At 36.8% G+C, this 25396-nt stretch overlaps 1 protein-coding gene and 1 pseudogene across 12 annotated transcripts in view; both read right to left on the bottom strand.

Moving 5' to 3' along the window:
- The window catches only part of RAP1GDS1 (Rap1 GTPase-GDP dissociation stimulator 1), a 182475-nt gene that overhangs the window by 12493 nt on the left and 144586 nt on the right, over positions 1–25396 (bottom strand). For 8 of the 12 annotated variants that reach the window (NM_001100426.2, NM_001100428.2, NM_001100430.2 and 5 more), the window contains 5 exons: positions 14478–14621; positions 13868–13999; positions 12575–12709; positions 11222–11347; positions 9972–10111 (listed from right to left, as the gene is read on the bottom strand). In NM_001100426.2, coding sequence (NP_001093896.1) covers positions 9972–10111; positions 11222–11347; positions 12575–12709; positions 13868–13999; positions 14478–14621 — 677 coding nt within the window. The remainder of the gene's footprint in view (positions 1–9971; positions 10112–11221; positions 11348–12574; positions 12710–13867; positions 14000–14477; positions 14622–25396) is intronic. The other 4 variants (NM_021159.5, XM_024454165.2, XM_024454164.2 and 1 more) reach the window with 1 other exon arrangement.
- RPL21P48 (ribosomal protein L21 pseudogene 48) lies at positions 21570–22116 on the bottom strand (annotated as a pseudogene).

The raw sequence follows: 25396 nt of genomic DNA, 5'->3' as shown, positions 1-25396 counted from the left end.
TGATCACAACGGAATATTTTCAGATAGGCTTTGATTTGAGGTAATTTTATAAGATTGCCGGTTGGTATAGCCATTGAGTTGGTGAGCCACTTAACAAAAATTTTCTTTTTCAAGATTGTATCATCAAAGCCTTTTCAGTACGGGATTTAAATAAATGTTTGTTGGATGAATGAGCAAATGACTAAATACATTTGTTTAAACAAGTTTTTAGCCTGGTAACTGATAAAGAATTCTCTACTCTTAAAGGTTAAAGAAAAGTGCTGGCTTTGATAGCAGGGAGTTTTTATATTCCTGGTATAAAGGCAACCTATATTTCTCTTTACATTTTTGATGTCTATAATTGGAAGATTCAGCTAGTTGGTCAGCAGTCCTAGACTAGGGCACTCTTTCAAAGAAAGGTGTGACTTTACCTAAGAGCATCAGCACAGGAATACACTGCAAAGTGCTGAGATGACTAAGCAGCATGAAACCTTGTGAGTCAGTGCAAACTTTTGAAGGGTTGAACTCCAAGACGGAATTCAGGGTGAGGTATGATCTTCAAAGTTTAAGAACAACACAAGGAGAGAGCTGTGATTCACACAGCTGGCTAAGGATCTACAGGAATGTAATACATTTGAACCTGGTGTTTAATTATTTTAAAAACTTATTCTAGAACAGCATTTTTCCAAAGTACGTCCAGTGTAATAACAGATGCCACCTGCAGAAAGGATCCATGGTCAAACAGTTTGGCAATCAGTGGATTCAAATAAAATTAAAGAGGTTTCTTTAGTATTAATGTGTGCTGTGAATCTCAAAGGCAAAGAAAAAAATAATTACTATTTGCATAACTAATCTACCTATGCAACTCTTTCTTTGTAGAAGATTTCTTGGGATTATAATTTGATGAAACAAACTTGAACTGCTGCTCAAAAGCAGTCATGTCTACTGTAACACTGGTTAAGTTAGAAAATAACAGCTCTGACATAGAACTCATGCAATTAACACACTTTATAGTTCTGCTCATTAAAGTGTGAGAATCAAGGCTCCTTGGCTGCTTAGCAGCAGTATACTCTCAATTGTAGGAAAGATATGTAAAGGTATTGAATTGTAATCCTAAAGTTGTAATATGTAACTATAAAGTTACAATCCTATATAATTTCAAGTTGTTTTCTGCTACACACACCCCCATCCACCTTTTCCTAAAAGGGTACCATGCCACAGTTCTCATCATTCAAAGAACCTGCGTGGTGATGGGTATTTGAACTCTTCTTTTCGGGGATGGGCGAGAAGTGGGAGGTTAGATGAGGGAAAGGGGGATCTATGAACAAAATTCACAGAAAAGCCTCAAAATCTTTAAATTTATTAAATATTATAGCATTTAAGTAGTTCTGGCTCCTAAATTCAGATGTTTCTAAGAAGCTGGGATGTATCTTCCTGTGGACATATTTTTGTGTCCATGAATGGTTTGGTTATGTAATTCTGTTAGTTGATACTGAAGATACTAGATTAATCAAGGTTTCCACGAGCCTTACTACTACATGTAACAGGAATTTATCTGAGAGTTCCAAATTCAGATGCCAGGATCATGTCTGTAAATTAGTTAATACAATTATGGTTTGCCAAAACTCTAAACCAAGCGTGTCCAACCTGCAGCCCAGGATGATTTTGAACGTGGCCCAACACAAATTCGTAGCTTTCTTAAAACATTATGAAATTCTTTTGTGATTAAAAAAAATTATTTCCATAGGTTACTGGGGAACAGGTGGTGTTTGGTTACATAAGTAAGTTCTTTAGTGGTGATTTGTGAGATTTTGGTGGACCCATCACCCGAGCAGTATACACTGCACCATATTTGTAGTCTTTTATCCCTCACCCCCTTCCCACCCTTTACCCCTAAGTCCCCAAAGTCTGTTGTGTCATTCTTATGTCTTTGCATCCTGATAGCTTAGCTCCTACTTATAAGTAAGAACATATGATGTTTGGGTTTCCACCCCTGAGTCAGAATAATAGTCTCCAATCTCATCCAGGTTGCTGCGAATGCCATTAATTCATTCCTTTTTATGGCTGAGTAGCATTCCATCATATATATATATACACATCATAGTTTCTTTTCTTTTTTTTTTTTTTTTTGAGACACGTCTTGCACTGTTACCCAGGCTGGAGTGCAGTGGTGCCATCTCGGCTCACTGCAAGCTCCACCTCCCGGGTTCACGCCATCCTCCTGCCTAAGCCTCCAGCGTAGCTGGGACTACAGGCGCCCGCCACCATGCCTGGCTAATTTTTTGTATTTTTAGTAGAGACGAGGTTTCACCATGTTAGCCAGGATGGTCTTGATCTCCTGACTTGGTGATCTGCCTGCCTCGTCCTCCCATAGTGTTGGGATTACAGGCGTGAGCCACCATGCCTGGCCCCATAGTTTCTTTATTCACTCGTTAACTGATGGGCATTGGGTTGGTTCCACATTTTTCCAATTGTGAATTGTGCTGCTATAAACATGTGTGCAAGTATATTTTTTGTATAATGACTTCTTTTCTACTGGGCAGATACCCAGTAGTGGGATTGCTGGATCAAATGGTAAATCTACTTTTAGTTCTTCAAGGAATCTCCACACTGTTTTCCATAGTGGTTGTATTAGTTTACATTCCCACCAGCAGTGTAGAAGTATTCCCTATTCACTGCATCCATGCCAACATCTATTATTTTTTTATTTGATTATGGACATTCTTGCATGGGTAAGGTGTTATGGCATTGTGGTTTTGATGTGCATTTCCCTGATCATTAGTGATGCTGAGCATTTTTTCATAAGTTGGCCATTTGTATATCTTCATTACTGTCTATTCATGTGCTTAGCCTATTTTCTGATGGGATTATTAGTTTTTTTCTTGCTAGTTTGTTTGAGTTTATTGTAGATTCTGGATATTAGTCCTCTGTCAGATGTATAGATTGTGAAGATTTTCTTCCACTCTGTGGGTTGTCTGTTTACTCTGCCGACTGTTCCTTTTGCCATGCAAAAGCTCTTTAGTTTAATTAAGTCCCAGCTATTTACCTTTGTTTTTATTGCATTTGCTTTGGGTTCTTGATCATGAAATCCTTGCCTAAGCCAACATCTAGAAGGGGCTTTTTCTGATATTATCTTCTAGAATTTTTAGTTTCAGGTCTTAGATTTAAGTCCTTGATCCATCTCAAGTTGATTTTTTTTTTGTATTAAGTTGGAAATGAGGCAACAGTTTTATTCTTCCATGCCAATAATCACAGCACCATTTGTTGAATATGGTGCCCTTTCCCCATTTTGTTTTTGTTTGCTTTGTCAAAGATCAGTTGGCTGTAAGTATTTGGGGTTATTACTCGGTTCTCTATTCTGTTCAATTGGTCTGTGTGCCTATTTTTGTACCACTACCATGTTGTTTTGATGACTGTGGCCTTATAGTATACTTTGAAATCAGGTAATGTGATGCCTCCAGATTTGTTTTGTTTAGTCTTGCCTTGGCTATGCAGGCTCTTTCTTGGTTCCATATGAATTTTAGAATTGTTTTTTCTAGTTCTGTGAAGAATGATGGTGGTATTTTAATGGGACCTACATCGAATTTGTAGATTGCTTTTGGCAGTATGGTCATTTTCACAATATTGATTCTACCCATCGGTGAGCATTGGATGTGTTTTCATTTGTGTCATCTATGATTTTCTTTAGCAGTGTTTTGTAGTTTTCCTTGTAAAACTACATCTCCATGGTTAGGAATATTCCTAAGTATTTTATTTTATTTTATTTTTTGCAGCTATTGTAAAAGGGTTGAGTTCTTGATTGGATTCTCAGCTTAGTTGCTCTTGGTGATAGGAGAGCTAATTTGTGTACATTAATTTTGTATCTGGAAACTTTGCTGAATTCTTTTATCAGTTCTAGGAGCTTTTTGGAGGAGTCTTTAGGGTTTTCTAGGTATACAGTCATATCATCAGCAAATAGCAACAGTTTAACTTCCTCTTTACCGATGTGGATGACCTTTATTTCTTTCTCTTGTCTGATTGCTCTGGCTAGGACTTCCAGTCCTGTTGAACAGAAGTGGTGAGAGTGGGCATCCTTATCTTGTTCCAGTTCTCAGAGGGAATGCTTTCAACTTTTTCCCATTCAGTATTATGTTGGATATGAGTTTCTCATAGACGGCTTTTATTATATTGAGGTATGTCACTGGTATGTTAATTTTGCTGAGTTTTAATTATAAAGAGATGCTGGACTTTGTGGAATGCTTTTTCTGCATCTATTGAGATGATCATGTGATTTTTGTTTTAATTCTGTTTATGTGGTGTGTCACATTTATTGACTTGGGTATGTTAAACCATCCCTGCATCCCTGGTATGAAACCCATTTGATCATGGTGAGTTATCTTCTTGATATGTTGTTGGATTTGGTTAGCTAGTATTTTGTTAAGGATTTTTGTATCTATGTTCATCAGGGATTTTGGTCTGTAGTTTTCTTTTTTTGTTATGTCCTTTCCTGGTTTTGGTATTAGGGTGATATTGGCTTCACAGAATGATTTGGGGAGGATTCCCTCTTTCTCTATCTTTTGGAATAGTGTCAATAGGATTGGTACCAATTATTCTTTGAATGTCTGGTGGAATTCAGCTGTGAATCTGTCTGGTCCTGGACTTTTTTTTGTTGGTAATTTTTAAATTACCATTTCAATCTGGTTGCTTGTTATTGGTCTGTTCAGGGTATCTAAATAATTCTTCCTGATTTAAGCTAGCAAGGTTGTATTTTTCCAGGAATTTATCCATCTCCTCTAGGTTTTCTAGTTTTTGCATGTAAAGGTGTTCATAGTAGCTGTGAATGACCTTTTGTATTTCTGTGGTGTCAGTTGTAGTATTTCCCATTTCTTTTCTAAGTGAGCTTATTTGAATTTTCTCTCTTCTTTTCTTGGTTATGGTCTATCAATCTTATTCATCTTCTCAAATAATCAGCTTTTTGTTTCATTTATCTTTTGTATTGTCTTTTTTGTTTCAATTTCATTTAGTTCTGCTCTGATCTTGGTTATTTCCTTTCTTCTGCTGGGTATGGGTTTGGTTTGTTCTTGTTTCTCTAGTTCCTTGAAATGTGACCTTAGATTGTCTCTTTGTGCTCTTTCAGACTTTTTGAAATGCCTATTTCAGGCTATAAACTTTCCTCTTAGCAACGCCTTTGTTGTATCCCAGAGGTATTGATAGGTTGTATCATTTATTGTTCAGTTCAAAGAATTTTTAAATTCCCATCTTGATTTTGTTATTGACCCAGTGATCATTCAGGAGCAGGTTATTTAATTTCCATGTATTTGCATGGCTTTGAAGGTTCCTTTTGGAGTTGATTTCCAGTTTTATTCCACTGTGGTTTGAGAGAGTACTTGCCATAATTTCAATTTTCTTAAAATTTATTGAGGCTTGTTTTGTGGTCTATTATATGGTCTATCTTGGAGAAAAGTTCCATTTGCTAATGAATAGAATGTATATTTTGCAGTTTTGGGTAGAATGTTCTGTAAATATCTGTTAAGTCCATTTGTTCTAGGGTATAGTTTAAATCCATTGTTTCTTTGTTGACTTTCTGTCTTGATAACCTCTTTAATGCTGTCAGTGGAGTATTGAAGTCTCCCACTATTGTGTTACTGTCTATCTTGTTTCTTAGGTCTATTGGCAATTGTTTTATAAATTTGGAAGCTCCAGTGTTTGGTGCATATATATTCAGGATTGTGATATTTTCCTGTTGGACAAGGCCTTTTATCATTATATAATGTCCCTCTGTCTTTTTGAACTGCTGTTTCTTTAAAGTTTGTTTTGCCTGATACAAGATAGCTATTCCTGCTGACTTTTGGTATCCATTTACATAGAATGTCTTTTTCCACCCCTCTACCTTAAGTGAGTCCTTATGTGTTGGGTAAGTCTCTTAAAGGCAGCAGATAGTTAATGAATTCTTATCTATTCTGCAATTCTGTATCTTTTAGTGGAACATTTAGGCCATTTACATTCAATCTTAGTATTGAGATGTGAGGTACTATTCCATTCATCATGCTATCTGTTGCCTGTATACCCCCCACTTTTTTTTTAATTGTATTTTTGTTTTGTAGGTCCTGTGAGATTTATTCTTTAAAGAGGTTCTGTTTTGATGTGTTTCCAGGATTTAAGATTTAGGGCTCCTTTTGGCAGCTCTTGTAGTGCTGGCTTGGTAGTGGTGAATTCTCTCAGTATTTGTTTGTCTGAAACACACTGTATCTTTCCTTCATTTATGAAGCTTAGTTTCACTGGATACAGAATTCTTGGCTGATAATTGCTTTCTTTAAGGAGACTGAAGATAGGGCCCCAATCCTTTCTAGCTTGTAGGGGTTCTGCTGAGAAATCCACTGTTAAGTTGATAGGTTTTCCTTTATAGGTTACCTCGTGCTTTTGCTTCACAGCTCTGAAGATTCTTTCCTTTGTCTTAACTTTAGATAACCTGATGACAATATGCCTAGGCAATGATCTTTTTGCAATGAATTTCCCAGGTATTCTTTGAGCTTCTTGTATTTGGACGTCTAGGTCTCTAGCAAGACTGGAGAAGTCTTCCTTGATTATTCTCCCAAATATGTTTTCCAAAAGTTTTCTTTGTTTTTTTTTTTTTTTTGGAGACAGAGTCTTGGGAGTCTTGCTCTGTCACCCAGGATGGAGTGCAGTGGCACGATCTTGGCTCACTGCAACCTCCGCTTCCCAGGTTCAAGCAATTCTCCTGCCTCAGCCTCCCCAGTAGCTGGGATTACAGGCGCACGCCACCATGCCTGGCTAATTTTTGCATTTTTAGTAGAGATGGGGTTTCACCATGTTGGCCAGGCTGGTCTGGAACTCCTGACCACAATGATCCACCTACCTTGGCCTCCCAAAGTACTGGGATTACAGGCGTGAGCCACCGCACTCAGCTGGTTTTCTAAACTTTTAGATTTCTCTTCTTCTTCAAATGCCACAGGTGTTTGAGTTTTTTTTGTGATTTTTGTTTTTTTAAGCTCATCAGCTATTGTTAGTGTTAGTGCATTTTATGTGTGGCCCAAGACAATTCGTTTTCCAATATGGCCCAGGGAAATCCAAATGATTGTATACCCCTGCAAACCAATGGTGGAGATTCTCTTGGAGTAGAGCAAAAAGATTAAGGGTAATGACTCCAAAGAGCATGGGCGAGTGGGCAAGTTTAGGGAGTGTTAGCTGCACCTCTTCCTATAGTGTTTTATTTTGTTGAATGGCATGATAACCCAATCTGGTGGTAAACCCCAAACTTGGAATTAGCTCTAAAACTACCTCCTCCTTTAATTCTACTGTTGAATCTGTCAATTCTACCACCCATATTTTTCTCAGGTCTGTCTCTTCTTTTCCATCCTCGCTGCTTCTAGTTGAATAACCCATATGAAATTTGTTTCAAAAATGGCTGAATATCAGCAATTTCAAATTGCTCAACTCAAAACCTTAATTCAGTCCTTTATCAACTCTCATATATATTTTTGCAATAACTGTCCTTTCTACCCCCATTAAACCCTAGAGACATCTTTCTAAATGAAAACTAAATGGCTGGGTGTGGTGGCTCACGCTTGTAATCCCAACACTTTGGGAGGCCGAGGTAGGCGGATCACCTGAGGTCGGCAGTTTGAGACCAGCCTGACCAAAATGGAGAAACCCCGTCTCTACTAAAAATACAAAATTAGCCGGGCATGGTGGTGCACGCCTGTGATCCTAGCTACTCAGGAGGCTGAGGCAGGAGAATCACTTGATCCCGGGAGGCGGAGGTTACAGTGAGTGGAGATCGCACCATTGCATTCCAGCCCGGGCAACAAGAGCGAAACTCTGTCTCAAAAAAACCCCGAAAAAACAAAAAAACAAAAAATAAAGAAAACAAAAAAACCCTCAAATAATGGCAACTTGCTGCTTAAAACCCTTTAAGTGCTCCCGAATTCTCTACAGAATCAAGTCCATATATCTTAACTTGGTATATAATTCACTTAATTCCCAGTTTTCAACCTCTCTGGCTACTGTCTCTTTCTACACTCTGTGTTCTAGCAATACTGCTTTATTTGCAGTTTCTTTAAAAAATTATGCTGTTTTACATCTCTGTGCTTTTGTACATCCTGCTGTCTTTGCCTGAAAAGGCCCTTTCCTTCATTCTCTTTCCCTTTCCTCCTGAGATTCCTAGTTAACGCCTAAAATAGCACTCCTTCTATGGCACCATCCCAGATTACCCAGACAGTGTGTTAGTCTTTCTTTCCTCTGTTACACCCGAATAGCATACGTAGCTTTAAAGCTGTACTTAAGCTAGCTGTTTTTATTTCTGTCCCCTCAACGGATAGTTAATTCCTTTATAGAAACACTATTTTTTAGTATTTACACTGCAAGAACTCAAATATTAACTGTTAAATGAACAAATGGGCGTGAGAGAGCAGTTATGATGGAGAAGGGGTCAAAGGGGTACCAAGGAAGCCATTTTGCTATTCTCTCCTGACAACTTCCACCTTGCCAACATACTGCTTGGTCCTGTGTCAGGAAAAATGTATGAGCTTTTAGGGTGGTCTGGGTGAGACAGGTAATAGGAAGGTCCTAGTTAACAGCTGCTTTTCCCCAGGGAAAGTTCTCAAGATTTAGCATCTGATGGAGAAGAACACTCCTGAGGCTTACCAGCTGGGACAGCTATTATGGTGAAGCCAATTATTTATATGAAAGAGATTTATACAAGAACAGCTTTAGTTTTACGTTTTTTCTCTTGGCATCTTCTTCTTATCTGTTCTAAAAATAAATGAAAACAGCTGGTGGATTTGAGTTCTAAACTTTCTCCTCATATATAATCACTACTGAAGTTGTACAAGAGAAATGACTGAAAGGGTCACCTTAGAAAACAGTATTAAAGGCTGGGCATGGTGGCTCATGCCTGTAATCCCAGCACTTTGGGAGGCCAAGGTGGGAGGATCATGAGGTCAGGAGTTTGAGGCCAGCCTGGCCAACATGGTGAAACCCCATCTCTACTAAAAATACAAAAATTAGCCGAGTGTGGTGGCGCCTGCCTGTAATCCCAGCTACTCTGGAGGCTGAGGCAGGAGAATTGCTTGAACCCAGGAGGTGGAGGTTGCAATGAGCTGAGATTGTGCCACTGTACTCCAGCCTGAGCGAGAGAGCAAGACTCAGTCTCAAAAAAGAAAAAGAAAACAGTATTTTATTTTATTTTGAGACGGAGTCTTGCTCTGTCACCCAGGCTGGAGTGCAGTGGTGCAATCTCGGCTCTCTGCAAGCTCCGCCTCCCGGGTTCACGCCATTCTCCTGCCTCAGCCTCCCGAGTAGCTGGGACTACAGGTGCCCGCCACCACGCCCAGCTAATTTTTTTTTGTATTTTTAGTAGACCCGGGGTTTCACTATGTTATCCAGGATGGTCTTGATCTCCTGACCTCATGATCTGCCCACCTCAGTCTCCCAAAGTGCTGGGATTACAGGTGTCAGCCACCACGCCCAACAAGAAAACAGTATTTAAAAAATTTAAAAATCATATAATCTAGATACTAAATCAGCTGCTGAACTGCTGGCCTGGGTACTCACTATTGTGATCTTTAAAATAGCTCATTTGTTCATTTATTGGTTATCTACCATGTGCCAGACAGCGGCACAGCCAGCCACAAGAATGGATTTTTTTCTAACTCTGTGAGCTCTGGACATCATATACTATCTAGGTACCATTTAATTTCTAAATATCAGTAGGCTGCATGGTCAATGCCTGGCACAAAGAATGTTTGACACTGATGCTGATAACGGTGGTGGTAAAAGTAATAACAACAATAGCAGCAGCAACAACAGCAACCCCCATTTACCGAGTGTTTCCTATATCCCATGTATCAGCTAAGCACATTATATACATGATCTCACTGAATCTTCACAATACTTTCAGGTAAATATTATCCCAGTTGTTAGGACCTACAATGCTGGGTTTCTGAAAAAGACACTCTGAAGTTTTCTAGTGAACAGTTTCCTCTGGAACTTACTTTTGATTTACTGTGTCGTATAAGGGCAGACAGCAGTCTGTTTGACTCCCCCATCACACCAGCATGATCTTTGGCTTCACACCATTCCACCAAACGCTCCACTAACTTAACATTCTTTCCCAATTGTTCAGCAGCTTCTGCTATAGGAAAGAAGGCAAACCAAGGAATGAATCACTAACAGACAATCAGTTGAAATAATTCGTACAGATTTGAGAGTGTGAAGGACGTCTAAAAAAACACAGCACGACAATTTCATTAAAGCTAGAACTGCAAATATTCCTTATGTGATGGGCTATTTGCCTTCTTCTGTAACACTGTGAAATTTTATAGAAAATACAACAACAAATGACTTCATACTCTTTTGGTTAAGCCTGCTAGTCTGTTAGTGCTCTGGCGGACTATAATGCAGGGTTCTTAGAAAGACTCTATGCAATCAATATAGAAAAGGGTTTAAAATTTAGAAATAAGTAAATAAACATAATTCATTCCTAGGAGTGGTTCTGACTGCTGTTTCTGCAAACAGAAAAATGCTCTCCCTGTCTGGAAGACAAATTTAAAAAATTTTTGACTGTCACAATAATGAAATTTGATTTCAAAGCCAAGGTAAAAATGGGTATAGAATGCCAAAACACAACACCCCCTGCCGAAACTGATGAATAAAGCAACCTAAAACCAGGACTATAAGTACTAATAAGGAGAGATATGGTATAATTTCTATTTAAAGTCAATTATAGGCTGGACATGGTGGCTCACACCTGTAATCCCAGCACTTTGGGAGGCTGAAGTGGGTGGATCGCTTGAGGCCAGGAGTTCAAGAGCAGCCTGAGCAACAAGCCCCATGTCTAGTGAAATTCCAAAACAATTAGCCAGGAGTTGTGGAGCATGCCTGTAATCCTAGCTACTCAGGAGGCTGAGGCAGGAAAATTGCTTGAACCCAGGAGGCGGAAGTTGCGGTGAGCTGAGGTCGCACCACTGCACTCCAGCCTGGGTGACAGAACAAGACTCTGTCTCAAAAATAAATAAATAAACAAATAAATAAATAAATAAATAAATAAATAATATGTATAAATAAATAATTATAACAAGCATAAAAATTAACAAATGGAGTTCCAAAACCAACTTTTAAATCTTTTATTTGCTATTTTTTATGATTACATAATCCTAAAAGCTAAAAACAAGTCCTTTTTCAACTAGAGGCACATTAAGACTATCATATGAAAAATGCAAGTTGGGGAAAACATTTCTTTTACCTTGTGCATCTATTAACATTCTTAATGTTCCCAGAAGTTTGAACTGAACAGGAGGCATTTCAGATTTAAGAAATTTCAAAACTGCCTCTGTGACCCCAGCTGATAACATCTTTGCTTTATTTATAACTGGAGAAAAAGAGAGACTATGGTTAAAATGGTATTAGCATTCCTGTTGATAAACATTCAATTCAATACAGGTTTATTAAGTATCTTTAAGATCCATGTTTTATTTTTCCATTTAGAAACAATCTTGTCACTTTTTTGTCAATTTTAAGAATGGAATTCAGTTGTTTATGTGTGTGTCCGTATCCTATTTGTGTATAAGCGGATAACAGACAATATAATAATTTTTATGACAGTATCATGGCTTTTTAGATCCAATCCAAAACACTTACTTACATAGTTTGTAAAGGAAATCTGAAAATGTTACCCTCTTACAACAAAAAGCACAATTCCGTTTTTGATCCAACTGTGTTAATATAAATGTTATAGACATTAATAAATGTTACTATCCTATGTAAACCAAATGAATTCAAATGGATTGGATCATCATGTAATTGTACTATTTCATCTAATCAGAAATTTATTTTTAGAAAGTAGGATAAAAGAATAGTTTTAACTATCTTTTGTTGTATTTTCCATAATACAGTGATTTCATGACTTCCAAAGGCACATTAAGGCTATTTTAAAAAAATTGTACATCTGCTTATAGAAAAACAACAACTGAAAGTCATTCTTGAGTGGACTCTGTTAATTGATGTCATTATTCTACCTCAACTAAAGATGCCTAAGGCCTGGTGCAGTAGCTCTCACCTGTAATCCCAGCACTTTAGGAGGCAAAGGTGGGTGGACTGCTTGAGCCCAGGAGTTCAAGACCAGCCTAGGCAACATAGTGAGATCCTGTTTCTACAAAAAAAAAAAATCAGCTGGGCATGGTGGCACATGCCTGTAGTCCCTGTTCCTCAGGAGGCTGAGGTGGGAGGATAACTTGAGCTCAGAAGGTAGAGGCTGTGGTGAGCCAGGACTGCGTCACTGCACTCTAGCCTGGCTGACAGAGTGAGACCCCATCTCAAACTTAAAAAAGCTTAACTATAAAACATGATGAAAATCTAACAGTTCGCAAAAGGTAACAGGATATCTGAATGAAGGCAAAGATTATTCTTGTACAGTCTCACAAAACTTATTTAACATATGATCTCCATTTATTAGCATGAAAAAATGTGAACAATGTGAAGACTATTTTTTTTTAAATTTTCTTCATCAGAGCAGGTTCACAAATCACATACAGTTAATAGCTTCCCCAAATGATGGATTTTATTTTGTACACAGCTGCCTTCTATTCTTAAGTCTTACCTGGAATGGCCAGGTTTCTGAGGGCACTTAGTGCTGCATGCTGTACTGTTACATTTCCATCTTCTACATGTCTGTCCAGTAAATCCATAAGTTTTTCTACAATCCCATTGTCTACCATATGAATACAATTTGCATCTGAAAAAAAAAACACACATCTTTTTCTTCCTCTTTAAAATATCTATAAATACTTTATAATACTGATGTCTGGCTATTATCTACATTAGGGAAAATGGAGCTATACAATAAAATGAATTCCAAATCTTTCTCCCATCAGATTTATAGGTTTTTCTGTTTACTGAGTGAGAAGTGTTAAAAAAAATTCTTAAACTAGATAAAAGTTTTAAAATCAGAAAATTACCAGAAAAATCTTTAGTTTAGAGCCAGATAATATATCAGAAGTAGAAACACATGGTTAGAATGTCCAATATTTTTCATTTATTGTGATGTATGCTTGTGTTCTCCCAATGTTACAGTGATAGTACTCTACCTTTTGCTATCATGGCTGATACCTAAATTATTTTTCAAACACTTACAAAGCGGAGAGAATATTATAATGAACCACTATTTACCCCATATCTAGTTTCAATAATTATCCATATTATGCCACTCTTACCTCCATAATTAGGAAGTCACTCCCAAAAAGAAGGAGTAAAAATGGAGCAAGTAAGCCATTATGATATAATATATACCAACAGTTTGTACTGGAAGATGATTAAACTAAAAAGAAAAATAAACTGTATTTCCTAGACACGGTATATTTCATGAGGAACGTAAGAATGAGTTTCTAGACTGTATTTGAGTTTTTTGGTAGTGCCAGATTTCATAAACATAGAAGTCTGGCGCCCCCTGAAACATTATTAAACTAAATTAAACATTCTACACGATGCCAGGGGATTATTCATACTTAAGTTTTATGGGCATAAAAGTATATAAGTTGAGGCACAATAATCCTAGAATGAATACTCAGATAATTAGATCCAAAATAAAATCACTAGGCAAAAGAAAGCAGATGTATACTAGAATGGGATTCAAACTTACTAAGCTCTGAAGTGCCAAGTATTCAAAAGAAGCACTTCATGATATTTAAACTATTAGAATTTAGTTGAATTGCATAAAATATGTAATTTGTTAGGAATGTCACTAAGTATTTCAGATTTCTGAAAAATTAAGTTAGCAGCATATACACATATTACACAACTTCTAAACTGTTCCAGTTTTAGTATATGTGGTAGCAAAGCAAAAATAAACAAATATAGAGTATTTGACTAACAAAGGAGGAACTAATATGCTTACCATTTCTGGCAAAATTTGCAATTGCCAATGCTCCAGCAAGCTGTAGCTGGTGGTTATTTGATGGGATCCAAGAGAGTACCCTTTGAAATACACTACCTTTTCCTCCTTCAAATAACTTCTGCATGGATTCATCTGGAGGTAAATGAAACGAATAGTTAAGCAAGAGAAAAATAACTAGGAGTAACAAATTCACATTCTTAGGTGAATATCCAACTGGAAACTCACACCTCACAAACTGTTACATTCATAATGGGAAAAGTAATGATTCTTTTTATAATAAACATTTAATAGATACTAGACAATAGAGTCTAGCATTTTTTCTAGTCCAAGTCCCAGGGAGCCATCTAGCTTTTCTTTAGTCCCTTGGTGCCAAAGCTATCTCTTCTATGTGACAGCTCTTCAAATACTGGAAGATAGTGAAGACACTTCTTTTTCAGGTTCATTATGTCTGGTTGTATCAATGGCATGTTTAAGATGTCAAAATCATCACCTCAATAGCAGGTGAGATAGGAATATGAGAAAATGTCTAGGGTAGTATTTACAGAAGAGACAATAAATTTTAAAAACATCTGACAACCACATTCTTTGGCTGGCATAAATTACAACTCACCTCCAAGAAGTAATAAAACCATGAGATCTGAACCAGTTTTGAGCTCAGTAATATCATCTTCTTTGTCACTATCCACTTTTTGCTGAACAATCTCTAGTAGACACTCTACTAGGCCTGCTTCAACCAGCTGTAGTTTAATAGCATCTAAAGAACAACGTGAACAAAATAATCAAACTTTGAGATAAAATAGGAGCTCTGGTATAAGCAGTCCATTATAAAGAATTATAAGAAACTAAGAGGGCCAGGTGCGGTGGCTCACGCCTGTAATCCCAGCACTTTGGGAGGCCGAGATGGGCGGATCACAAGGTCAGGAGATCGAGACCATCCTGGCTAACACCATGAAACCCCGTCTCTACTAAAAAATACAAAAAAAAATTAGCCAGGTGCAGTGGCAGGCGCCTGTAGTCACAGCTACTCAGGAGGCTGAGGCAGGAGAATGGCGTGAACCTGGGAGGCGGAACTTGCAGTGAGCCAAGATTGCAACACTGCACTCCAGCCTGGGCAATAGAGCGAGACTCTGTCTCAAAAAAAAAAAAAAAAAAAAAAAAAAAAAACTAAGAAAATGCATGATTTAGATAATACATTTTTGAAACTCAAATCTTCAAAGTAAACTATCTTGACAGTTCATTTAAATATACAAAAAAGCTTTATTTCATATTTCCATTTGAAATTGCCAAATTTTTCAGGATGTCTTGCAGCATCTAAACAAATTGATACTCAGCTCTGAAAGCAACTAGTATCACTCCACTATTACTCTAGATATCATGCTCATGTTTAAAGGGCAAGCTATAAAATACTATAAAATAGGGCTGGGCATGGTGGCTTACACTTGTAATCCCAGTGCTTTGGGAGGCCAAGGCAGGAAGATTGCTTGAGGCCAGGAGTTCAAGGTTACAGTAAGCTATGACTGTGCCACTGCACTCCAGTCTGGGCAACAGAGTGAGACCCTGTCTATAAAAATTAAATAAATAAATAAATAAAGTCGTGTTTTTAAAAAGGGCTTCAGGTTTTCATTGATTTAAAGCTTTCTTGAGTGATGGGTACATGGTGGTTTACTAAATGCTATTTCTGAATACATTTCAAAATGTTCATAATAAAAGTTAAAAGAAAAAAATAACCTTGAACCTTTCTGATGGCTAAACATAACATAAGGTATTTTAGAGACAGAATTTACATCCCAATTACATTTTTAAAACTGATCTTCATAGGAAACTCCACCCCCACATCAACACTTTTTATTATACTTCTAATATCTTTAAGTATTCTTTCATTATAACACTTATTTCACTGAAGAGCTTATATTTGCCTCCATATCTGTCTCCATCTATCTCCTGAGCAGATATATGTTGTGGGAAGTCAGGGACCCCAAATGGTGGGACTGGCTGGCACCGTGGCAGAAAAACATAAATTGTGAAGATTTCATGGACATTTATCAGTTCCCAAATAATACTCATAATTTCTTATGCCTGTCTTTACTTTAATCTCTTAATCCTGTTATCTTTGTAAGCTGAGAATGTACATCACCTCAGGATCACTATTGTACAAACTGATTGTAGAACATGTGTGCTTGAAAAATATGAAGTCTGATTGTAAAACATGGGTGTTTGAACAATATGAAATCAGTGCACCTTGAAAACAAACAGAATAACAGTGATTTTACAGAACAAGAGAAGACAACCAAAGGTCTGACTGCCTGCAGGGTCAGGCAGAATAGAGCCATATTCTTCTTCTTGCAGAGAGCCTATAAACGGATGTGCAAGTAGGAGAGATATCACTGAATTCTTTTCTCAGCAAGGAATATTAATAATACCCTGGGGAATACAAAATCAATGTACAAAAATCACAAGCATTCTTATACACCAACAACAGACAAACAGAGAGCCAAATCATGAGTGAATTCCTATTCACAATTGCTTCAAAGAGAATAAAATACCTAGGAATCCAACTTACAAGGGATGTGAAGGACCTCTTCAAGGAGAACTACAAACCACTGCTCAAGGAAATAAAAGAGGATACAAACAAATGGAAGAACATTCCATGCTCATGGGTAGGAAGAATCAATATCGTGAAAATGGCCATACTACCCAAGGTAATTTACAGATTCAATGCCATCCCCATAAAGCTACCAATGACTTTCTTCACAGAATTGGAAAAAACTACTTTAAAGTTCATATGGAACCAAGAAAGAGCCCGCATCGCCAAGTCAATCCTAAGCCAAAAGAACAAAGCTGGAGGCATCACACTACCTGACTTCAAACTATACTACAAGGCTACAGTAACCAAAACAGCATGGTACTGGTACCAAAACAGAGATATAGATCATTGGAACAGAACAGAGCCCTCAGAAATAATGCCGCATATCTACAACTATCTGATCTTTGACAAACCTGAGAAAAACAAGCAATGGGGAAAGGATTCCCTACTTAATAAATGGTGCTGGGAAAACTGGCTAGCCATATGTAGAAAGCTGAAACTGGATCCCTTCCTTACACCTTAGACAAAAATCAATTCAAGATGGATTAAAGATTTAAATGTTAGACCTAAAACCATAAAAACCCTAGAAGAAAACCTAGGCATTACCATTCAGGACATAGGCATGGGCAAGGACTTCATGTCCAAAACACCAAAAGCAATGGCAACAAAAGACAAAATTGACAAATGGGATCTAATTAAACTAAAGAGCTTCTGCACAGCAAAAGAAACTACCATCAGAGTGAACAGGCAACCTACAAAATGGGAGAAAATTTTCGCAACCTACTCATCTGACAAAGGGCTAATATCCAGAATCTACAATGAACTCAAACAAATTTACAAGAAAAAAACAACCCCATCAAAAAGTGGGCGAAGGACATGAACACACACTTCTCAAAAGAAGACATTTATGCAGCCAAAAAACACATGAAAAAATGCTCATCATCACTGGCCATCAGAGAAATGCAAATCAAAACCACATGAGATACCATCTCACACCAGTTAGAATGGCAATCATTAAAAAGTCAGGAAACAACAGGTGCTGGAGAGGATGTGGAGAAATAGGAACACTTTTACACTGTTGGTGGGACTGTAAACTAGTTCCACCATTGTGGAAGTCAGTGTGGCGATTCCTCAGGGATCTAGAACTAGAAATTCCATTTGACCCAGCCATCCCATTACTGGGTATATACCCAAATGACTATAAATCATGCTGCTATAAAGACACATGCACATGTATGTTTATTGCGGCATTATTCACAATAGCAAAGACTTGGAACCAACCCAAATGTCCAACAATGATAGACTGGATTAAGAAAATGTGGCACATATACACCATGGAATACTATGCAGCCATAAAAAATGATGAGTTCATGTCCTTTGTAGTGACATGGATGAAATTGGAAATCATCATTCTCAGTAAACTATCGCAAGAACAAAAACCAAACACTGCATATTCTCACTCATAGGTGGGAATTGAACGATGAGATCACATGGACACTGGAAGGGGAATATCACACTCTGGGGACTGTGGTGGGGTGGGGGGAGCGGGGAGGGATAGCATTGGGAGATATACCTAATGCTAGATGACGAGTTAGTGGGTGCAGCGCACCAGCATGGCACATGTATACATATGTAACTAACCTGCACAATGTGTACATGTACCCTAAAACTTAAAGTATAATAAAAAAAAAAATAGTAATACCCTGGGGAAGGAATTGCATTCCTGGGGGGAGGTCTATAAATGGCCGCTCTGGGAGTATCTGTCTTATGCGGTTGAGATAAGGACTGAAATACGCCCTGGTCTCCTGCAGTACCCTCAGGCTTATTAGGGTGCGGAAAAGATCCCGCCCTGGTAAGTTTGAGGTCAGACCGGTTCTCTGCTCTCGAACGCTGTTTTCTGTTGTTTAAGGTGTTTATCAAGATAATACGTGCACAGCCAAACATAGACCCTCATCAGTAATTCTAATTTTGCCCTTTGCCTTGTGATCTTTGCTTTGCCCTTGCCTTGTGATCTTTATTGCCCTGTAAAGCACGTGATCTTTGTGACCTACTCCCTGTACACTCCCTCCCCTTTTGAAATCCCTAATAAAAACTTCCTGGTTTTGTGGCTCAGGGGACATCACGGACCTACCGATATGTGATGTCACCCCTGGAGGCCCAGCTGTAGAATTCCTCTTTTTGTACTCTTTCTCTATTTCTCAGATGGGCCGACATTTAGGGAAAATAGAACATACATTGAAATATTGGGGGCTGGTTCCCCCAATAGATACACCTTACTCATCTTTGTATCTTAACCTAAACTGGCCTATCTAAATGCTTTGAGTGTAGTTGATACTCCTTAAGATAAATGCTAGTCAACTCACCTGAAAAATACATTTGCAACACAGATTTTTTGTTTAAGAGACAGTGTCTCGCTCCGTTGCCCAGGCTGGAGCGCAGTGGTATGATCATAGCTCACTGCATCCTTGAACTCCTGGGCTCAAGCAATCCTCCTATCTCAGCCTCCTGAGTAGCTGGGACTAAAAGTGCATGCCACCATGCCTGGCTAATTTTTAAACTTTTTTTGTAGAGACAGGGTCTCACTATGTTGCCTAGGCTGGTCTTGAACTCATGGCCTCAAGCAATCTTCCTGCCTTGGCCTCCCAAAGTGCTAGGATTACAGGCATGAGCCACTGTACCTGGCCAGAAATTTTTAAATTTAAACTTTATTTTTTCAGTTGGATTTTATTTTAGTCATTGGTTTCCCTAAGCTGTATATGCATCCATATATGGCAATGGCAGCTTCAGCTTATCATTTAGGAAAAATAAAGACTTTTAAAAATAAATACTTAAGACTTTCAGGCAATTTTAATGTGTTAAAATTTGGCTTTTTTGAATCACTAGGATCACTGATCTTCTTTTGAATATTATCTCAGAATACACAGAGTATTCAACCTGGAATATTTCTTTAAAAGGTACACTTGTACTGTGCCATGCTAAAAGTAGGGCGTTTCCTTGGTTACAGAATGCTAGGGCTAGAGATGTGTGGTGACTAGAATTAAAAACTATGATGAAAAAGCCTTAAAAATACTAAAATCCTTGAACTATACAAATCCCAACTTCTAATGCTGAAATCACTCTCCTTCGTGTACTGGGAAAATGAAGGATGATACATGCAAAGAATTAGTCCAAAAACAAGCCTTCAATGGTATCATCCTATCCATTGTGCAATTATAAAACAGATGTGAAGGCAGAGGGGAAAACAGTAATAAATATCAACACATTGTTATTTTGAAATACTGCAAGGAAAGTTATAGGTTATTTTATGGCCTAAAATTGACTGAAGGTCACAGTAAAATTTTTACTTTGCCAAAACACCAATGAGATAAAAAACAAATTTCTCCCTAAGAAATAGGACCTAAGACATTTAAGAAATTTTAAATGTGTCAATATTGTAGTTTTAAAATTTTAATTAATTTTTTTTTTTGAGACAGGGTCTTGCTGTGTTGCCCAGGTTGGTCTTGAACTCCTGGCTCAAGCAATCCTTCTGCCTTGGCCTCTGAAAGTGCTGGAATTACAGGCGTAAGCCATCACTCCCAGCCTAAATGTCTCAATGTTAAAGTTTACAGATAATCTCTTCTCACAATTTGACTGAAATCAAATACCTGAAAACAAATATATAGGAGGCTTAAACTACCTTAATTAGGATTAGCAAGACATTCTGCCAAAGCAGACAGCCCAGCACATTTACCAAAACCATTCTGTCCAAGGACAAGTATCTTTATCACCACTGTTTACACACATATGTATGAATGTACACTTGTATGTATCATGTATGCATCATATATAGGTATTTTAAAACTTTTTTTAAAGAGTGAAAGAAAACCACAAATGCAGAGAAGTGCATAAAATATCCAAGTTAAGTTTAATATATTATTAGAAAGCAAATAACCATGTATCTATCACCTAGATCAAGAAATTCATTGCCAACAACTCAGGAAGCCTATCTCTGCATTTCTGTTTCTGATAACAAACCCCTTCCTTCATTTGTCTCAAATCATCCTGGTTATTATGGTAATCACTTCTATACTTTCATCATTTTACCAAGTAAATAATCATTCCTAAAAACTACAGTTTAGTTTTACTTTTTGTTTTTAACTTTATATAAATTGAATCATACAATATGTATTTTTCAGTGTTGGCTTTTTCCTTTCAACATTATGAGATTCATCCACAGTAATGGTTACAGCTGTCTTCATTCCTTTTCATAACTCTATATTTTTCCATTATATTAATATCCTATGATTTATTCATTCTACTGTTAATGGATTTTGGTTGTTTCCAATTTTTCATTATAAATAATGCTGCTTTGAACATTCCTGTAACAGTTCCTGGTATACATGTGCACAAGCTTCTGGGTATATTTCTAAGAGCAGAATTGTTGGATCTATTGCTTCAACTTCAATAGATACTACTTCCCAATTGTACCAATTTACACTCCCACTGTTCCACACCCTCATCAACAGTTGGTTTATGAGACTTTCCAGTGGGTGTATAGTGGTATTTTATTGTGGTTTTATTTTGTGTTACCTAAGAGTGAACATTTTCATATCTATATTAAGTCTGTTGGACTTAATATAAATCTTTTGTCAAGTGCTTATTAAAATGTTTTTCACATTTTTCTTAATGATTTTTAAGAGTTTTTATACACTGTATACACAAGCCCTCTGTCAGTTATATGTTATAATTATATTCTCTCATCCAGTCTTGCTTTTCACTCTTAACGGTGTCTTTAAAAAAAGAGTTTTAACTTTTATTTATTTGTTTTTGGTAGAGATGAGGCCTCACTATGTTGCTCAGGCTGGTCTCGAACTCCTGGTCTCAAGTGATCCTCGTCTTGCCCTCCCAAAGCCATTAGGATTGCAGTCATGAGCCACCAGGCTAGCCAGAAGTTTTACTTTTAAAGTAACCAATGTCTCAATTTTTTCCTTTATGATTAGAGCTTTTTGTGATCTAAGAAAAGTATTTCAAGGCCATGATGATATTCTCCTAGCTTACATTTTAAGATAAACCCTCTGAAGTTTTAACTTTCACATTTAGGTCAATCTATCTGGAATTAATTTTTTATATACTTTTTAATAGTCTAGAAGCCTTTTATCTTGAAAACACCTATTATGCCATGAATTCATAGGGAAGAGGTTCCAGCAGCTCAGGCCCCTTCCGTTTGTTCTCACAAAGTGCGCTTCTCTAGGTGGAACAGACTGTTGCTTCAGTTGAACTCAGGTACATTTCTCTTTGGCTCCCTTCTTTTTCTTTTCCTATCTTTCCTTCATGTGTTTCGGGGAGGTATCTTGGCTCTTGAGTGCTTAATATGCTCATTATACACATTAATTATTTTGGCAACAATCTTGCCCTTGTTTGTTTACAACAACACTAGTACCATGCCGGGTAACACCATAGACTCTTGGTTTTCCATGGTAAAATTTGTGGGGCATTCCCTTTTTGAACAGGATGCATTCCTCTGATGTCTACAATATCACCTTTCCTGTAGATTTGAATGTATGTGGCTAAAGGAACAACTCCGTATTTTCTAAAAGGCCTACAGAATACATATCAGATGCTTCTCTTTCCCTTTGTGTTCATTATTTTGTTAAATTACTGGAAGGTGGCAGTTCCAGCTAAAAGGGCTATCCAACGTATTTTTCACATTTTATTTTCTGTTTTTTCTTTTTTGGTATATAGAAATTCTTGTTTGTTTTTTGGCAGTAACCTAACAAAATTCTGATTTAAAAAAAGATCTATAAAACTGATCTATAGATTCTTTTGAATTAAATATGCATAATCACATCATAAATGAATGAGAGTTTTATTGCTTTATCTTAATTTTTTTTCTTTTATTCTCTTTAATGCACTGGATACTTCTTACAATACAATGTTAAATGGAAGCGGGGATGATCCTTCTTGTCCCAATCTCAAAGCAAATGCTTTTTTATTTCACCATTGATTGTGATGTTTTCTTCAGCCTTCTCATAGATATCTTTTTCAGATTGAAGACCTTCCTAGTCCTGTTTTCCTAAGTTTTTAAAAATAATGAATGAACACTTAATTTTATGAAAAGCTTTTTTTAAAATCTGAGAAGATCATGGTTTCTCCCCTTAAATATTTTAAGGTGATGAATTATACTAGTTGCATTTCAAATATTAAATTGTGTTACACTTTCAGAATAAATGCAATTTGGTGTGATTAATTTTTTTAATATATTACTAGAGTAAATTTGCTAAAATTTTAGGAGGAATTTTGGATCTATGTTCATGGTGAGACTAGCCTTTAATTTTCATTCATGTATTGTCTTTGTTGGGATTTGGTATAAAGGTTTCATTAGCCTCATTAAAATAAATTGGTAAGTATATTTCCTTTTCCTATTCTCTGGAAGAATTCTTAAGGTAAGATTACTCAGCTTTTCTATTCTTGTATCAGTCATACTTTAAAATATATTGGCATCAGGCCAGGCACGGTGGCTCATGCCTGTAATCCCAGTATTTTGGGAGGCCAAGGCAGGTGGATCACCTGAGGTCAGGAGTTTGAGATCAGCCTGGGCAACATGGTGAAACCCCGTGTCTACTAAAAATAAAAATAAAAAAATTAGCCAGGCGTGGTAGGAGGCGCCTGTAATCCCACCTACTTGAGAAGCCGAGGCAGGAGAATTGCTTGAACCTCGGAGATGGAGGCTGCATCCCAGGTGGAGGCTGCAGTGAGCCGAGATGGTGCCACTGCACTCCAGCCTGGGTGACAGAGTGAGACTCCATCTTGCGGGGGAGGGAAAAAAAAAAATATATATATATATAAAATATATGGGCATCAAATTGTTCATAATATCCTCTTAATAGCTGTAAGACCTGCGGTAAGGTCTCCTCCTCTTGCATTCTTAATTTTGGTTAATTATGCTTTCTCTCTCTTTTCATCATTAATCTCACTACGGGTTTACCAATTCCACTGTCTTTTCAGACTCAACTGTAGTAATTATATGTTTGTGTTGCACTGTATGTTTTCCATTTTATTTCAGCTCTTTACATTTCCTTCCTTCTGCTTATTATTATTTTTTTTAAAATTTCAATAGCTTTAGTGGTACAAGTGGTTTTTGGTTACATGGATGAATTGTATAGTGGCAAAGTCTAGGATTTTAGGTCATCTGTCATCTGAATAGTGTACACTGTACCTAATAAGTAGTTTTTTACCCCTCACCCCCTCATCTCACTACCTCCCTCTGTCTCCAAAGTCCATTCTATCCACTCTCTATGCCTTTGTGTACACATAGCGTAGCTGCCACTTGTGAGAATAGGTGGCATTTGGTTACTTCACTTAGAATTAATGCCCTCTAGTTCCATTTAAGTTGCTGCAAAAGACATTATTTCATTCTTTTTTATAGCTGAGTAGTATTCCATGTTGTGTGTGTGTGTGTGTGTGTGTATACACACCCCATTTTCTTTATCCACTCATCCACTGATGGACACTTAGGTTGATACCCTATCTTTTCTTCTGCTTTTTAAAAGAATATATATTACTCTTGGATTTTGTTAACATTGTTGTATTTTATTCCAGTTAACTACTTAAAAAATTTTTTTTTGTAGATTTAGGGAGTACAAGTGCAGATTAACAAAATTAATAGACCACTAGCTAGATTAACAAAAAAAAAGAGAGAAGATTCAAATAAGTACAATCAGAAACAATAAAGGTGACATTATAGCTGCTACCACAGAAATACAAAAGATTATCAGAGACTACTATGAGCATATTCACACAAATTGGAAGGTGAGGGTTGAAAAATTACCTTGTGGTTTTTTGGGTTTATATTTTCTTTCCCCTAAATTCCTGAGATGAATACTGGGCTCATTGATTTTAGTTCTTTTCCTTTTCTAATATAAGCATTTAGAGCAAAAAATTTCCCTCTGAATAGGTCTTTACTTGTAACACGTAAGATCTGAGATATAGCATTTTCATTTTCACTACTAGAAAAATTTCTAATTTCCATTACAATTCTTTTTTGACCTCTGAGGTACTGGAAGTATATTTCTTACCATGTAAACATACAGCGATTTCCTGGTTTTCTTTTTATAATTGGTTACTAGACAACTCACTTAGGTCAAAGAAATACTTTGTATGATAGCAATCTTTTGAAATTTCTTTCTTTCATGACAAGTATACATGTTCTTAAATGTTTCATATGTACTTGAAAGAGCTCTGTAGTTGAAGTGTTCTAAAATAGGTCCATTAAATCAATTGTCTTAATCATTTTCAAATTTTCTATAACCTTATTCTTCTATCTTATTCTATAAATTATTGAAAGAGGTATTAAAATTTCTCACAATATTTGTGGATTTGTCTGTTTCTCTTCATAGTTCTGAATGTTTTTGCTCCGTATGTTTTGGGATAATGTATAACGGTTATTTTTTTTCTAGGTAAATTGGACCTTTTATTACTAAAGTCACCCTCTTTATCTCTAGCAAGTCTTTTCATCTTAAAATCTATTTTACTTGATATTAATATAACTACCCCAGCCTTCCTTAGGTTTCACTGGTATATTTTTTCTACCCTATTATTCTCAATCTTTTAAATCTCATATTTAATAAGTATTGCTTAAGTAGTATAGTTATTTATTTTAAAACACAAGTGACAAATGGTCTTTTAATTAGAGCATTTAGGCCACATTTAACGTAATTACTGAAATACTGTGTCTTAAAACTGTATTTTTATGCTTCATTTGTCCTCTATGATTCGTGTTCCTTTTTCTTTCCTCTTTTTTCTTGTTTTGCATTACTAGGGTATTAAAAAACCTTTCCATAAGTCGCTTCCATTTGTTCTGCAGCTATATATCATTTTAAAAAATTACTTTAGTAGTCACCTTAAAAGTTAAAAGTGACTAAATAACCAGAGTCTTCCAGATAACACAAGTGTCTTAGGACTCTAAC

This window comes from Homo sapiens, chromosome 4 (genome assembly GCF_000001405.40).
Source record: "Homo sapiens chromosome 4, GRCh38.p14 Primary Assembly".
Classification (NCBI taxonomy): Eukaryota; Metazoa; Chordata; class Mammalia; order Primates; family Hominidae; genus Homo; species Homo sapiens.
The sequence above is the reverse complement of the archived record's forward strand: the minus strand, read 5'-3'. Positions and strand labels throughout refer to the sequence as shown.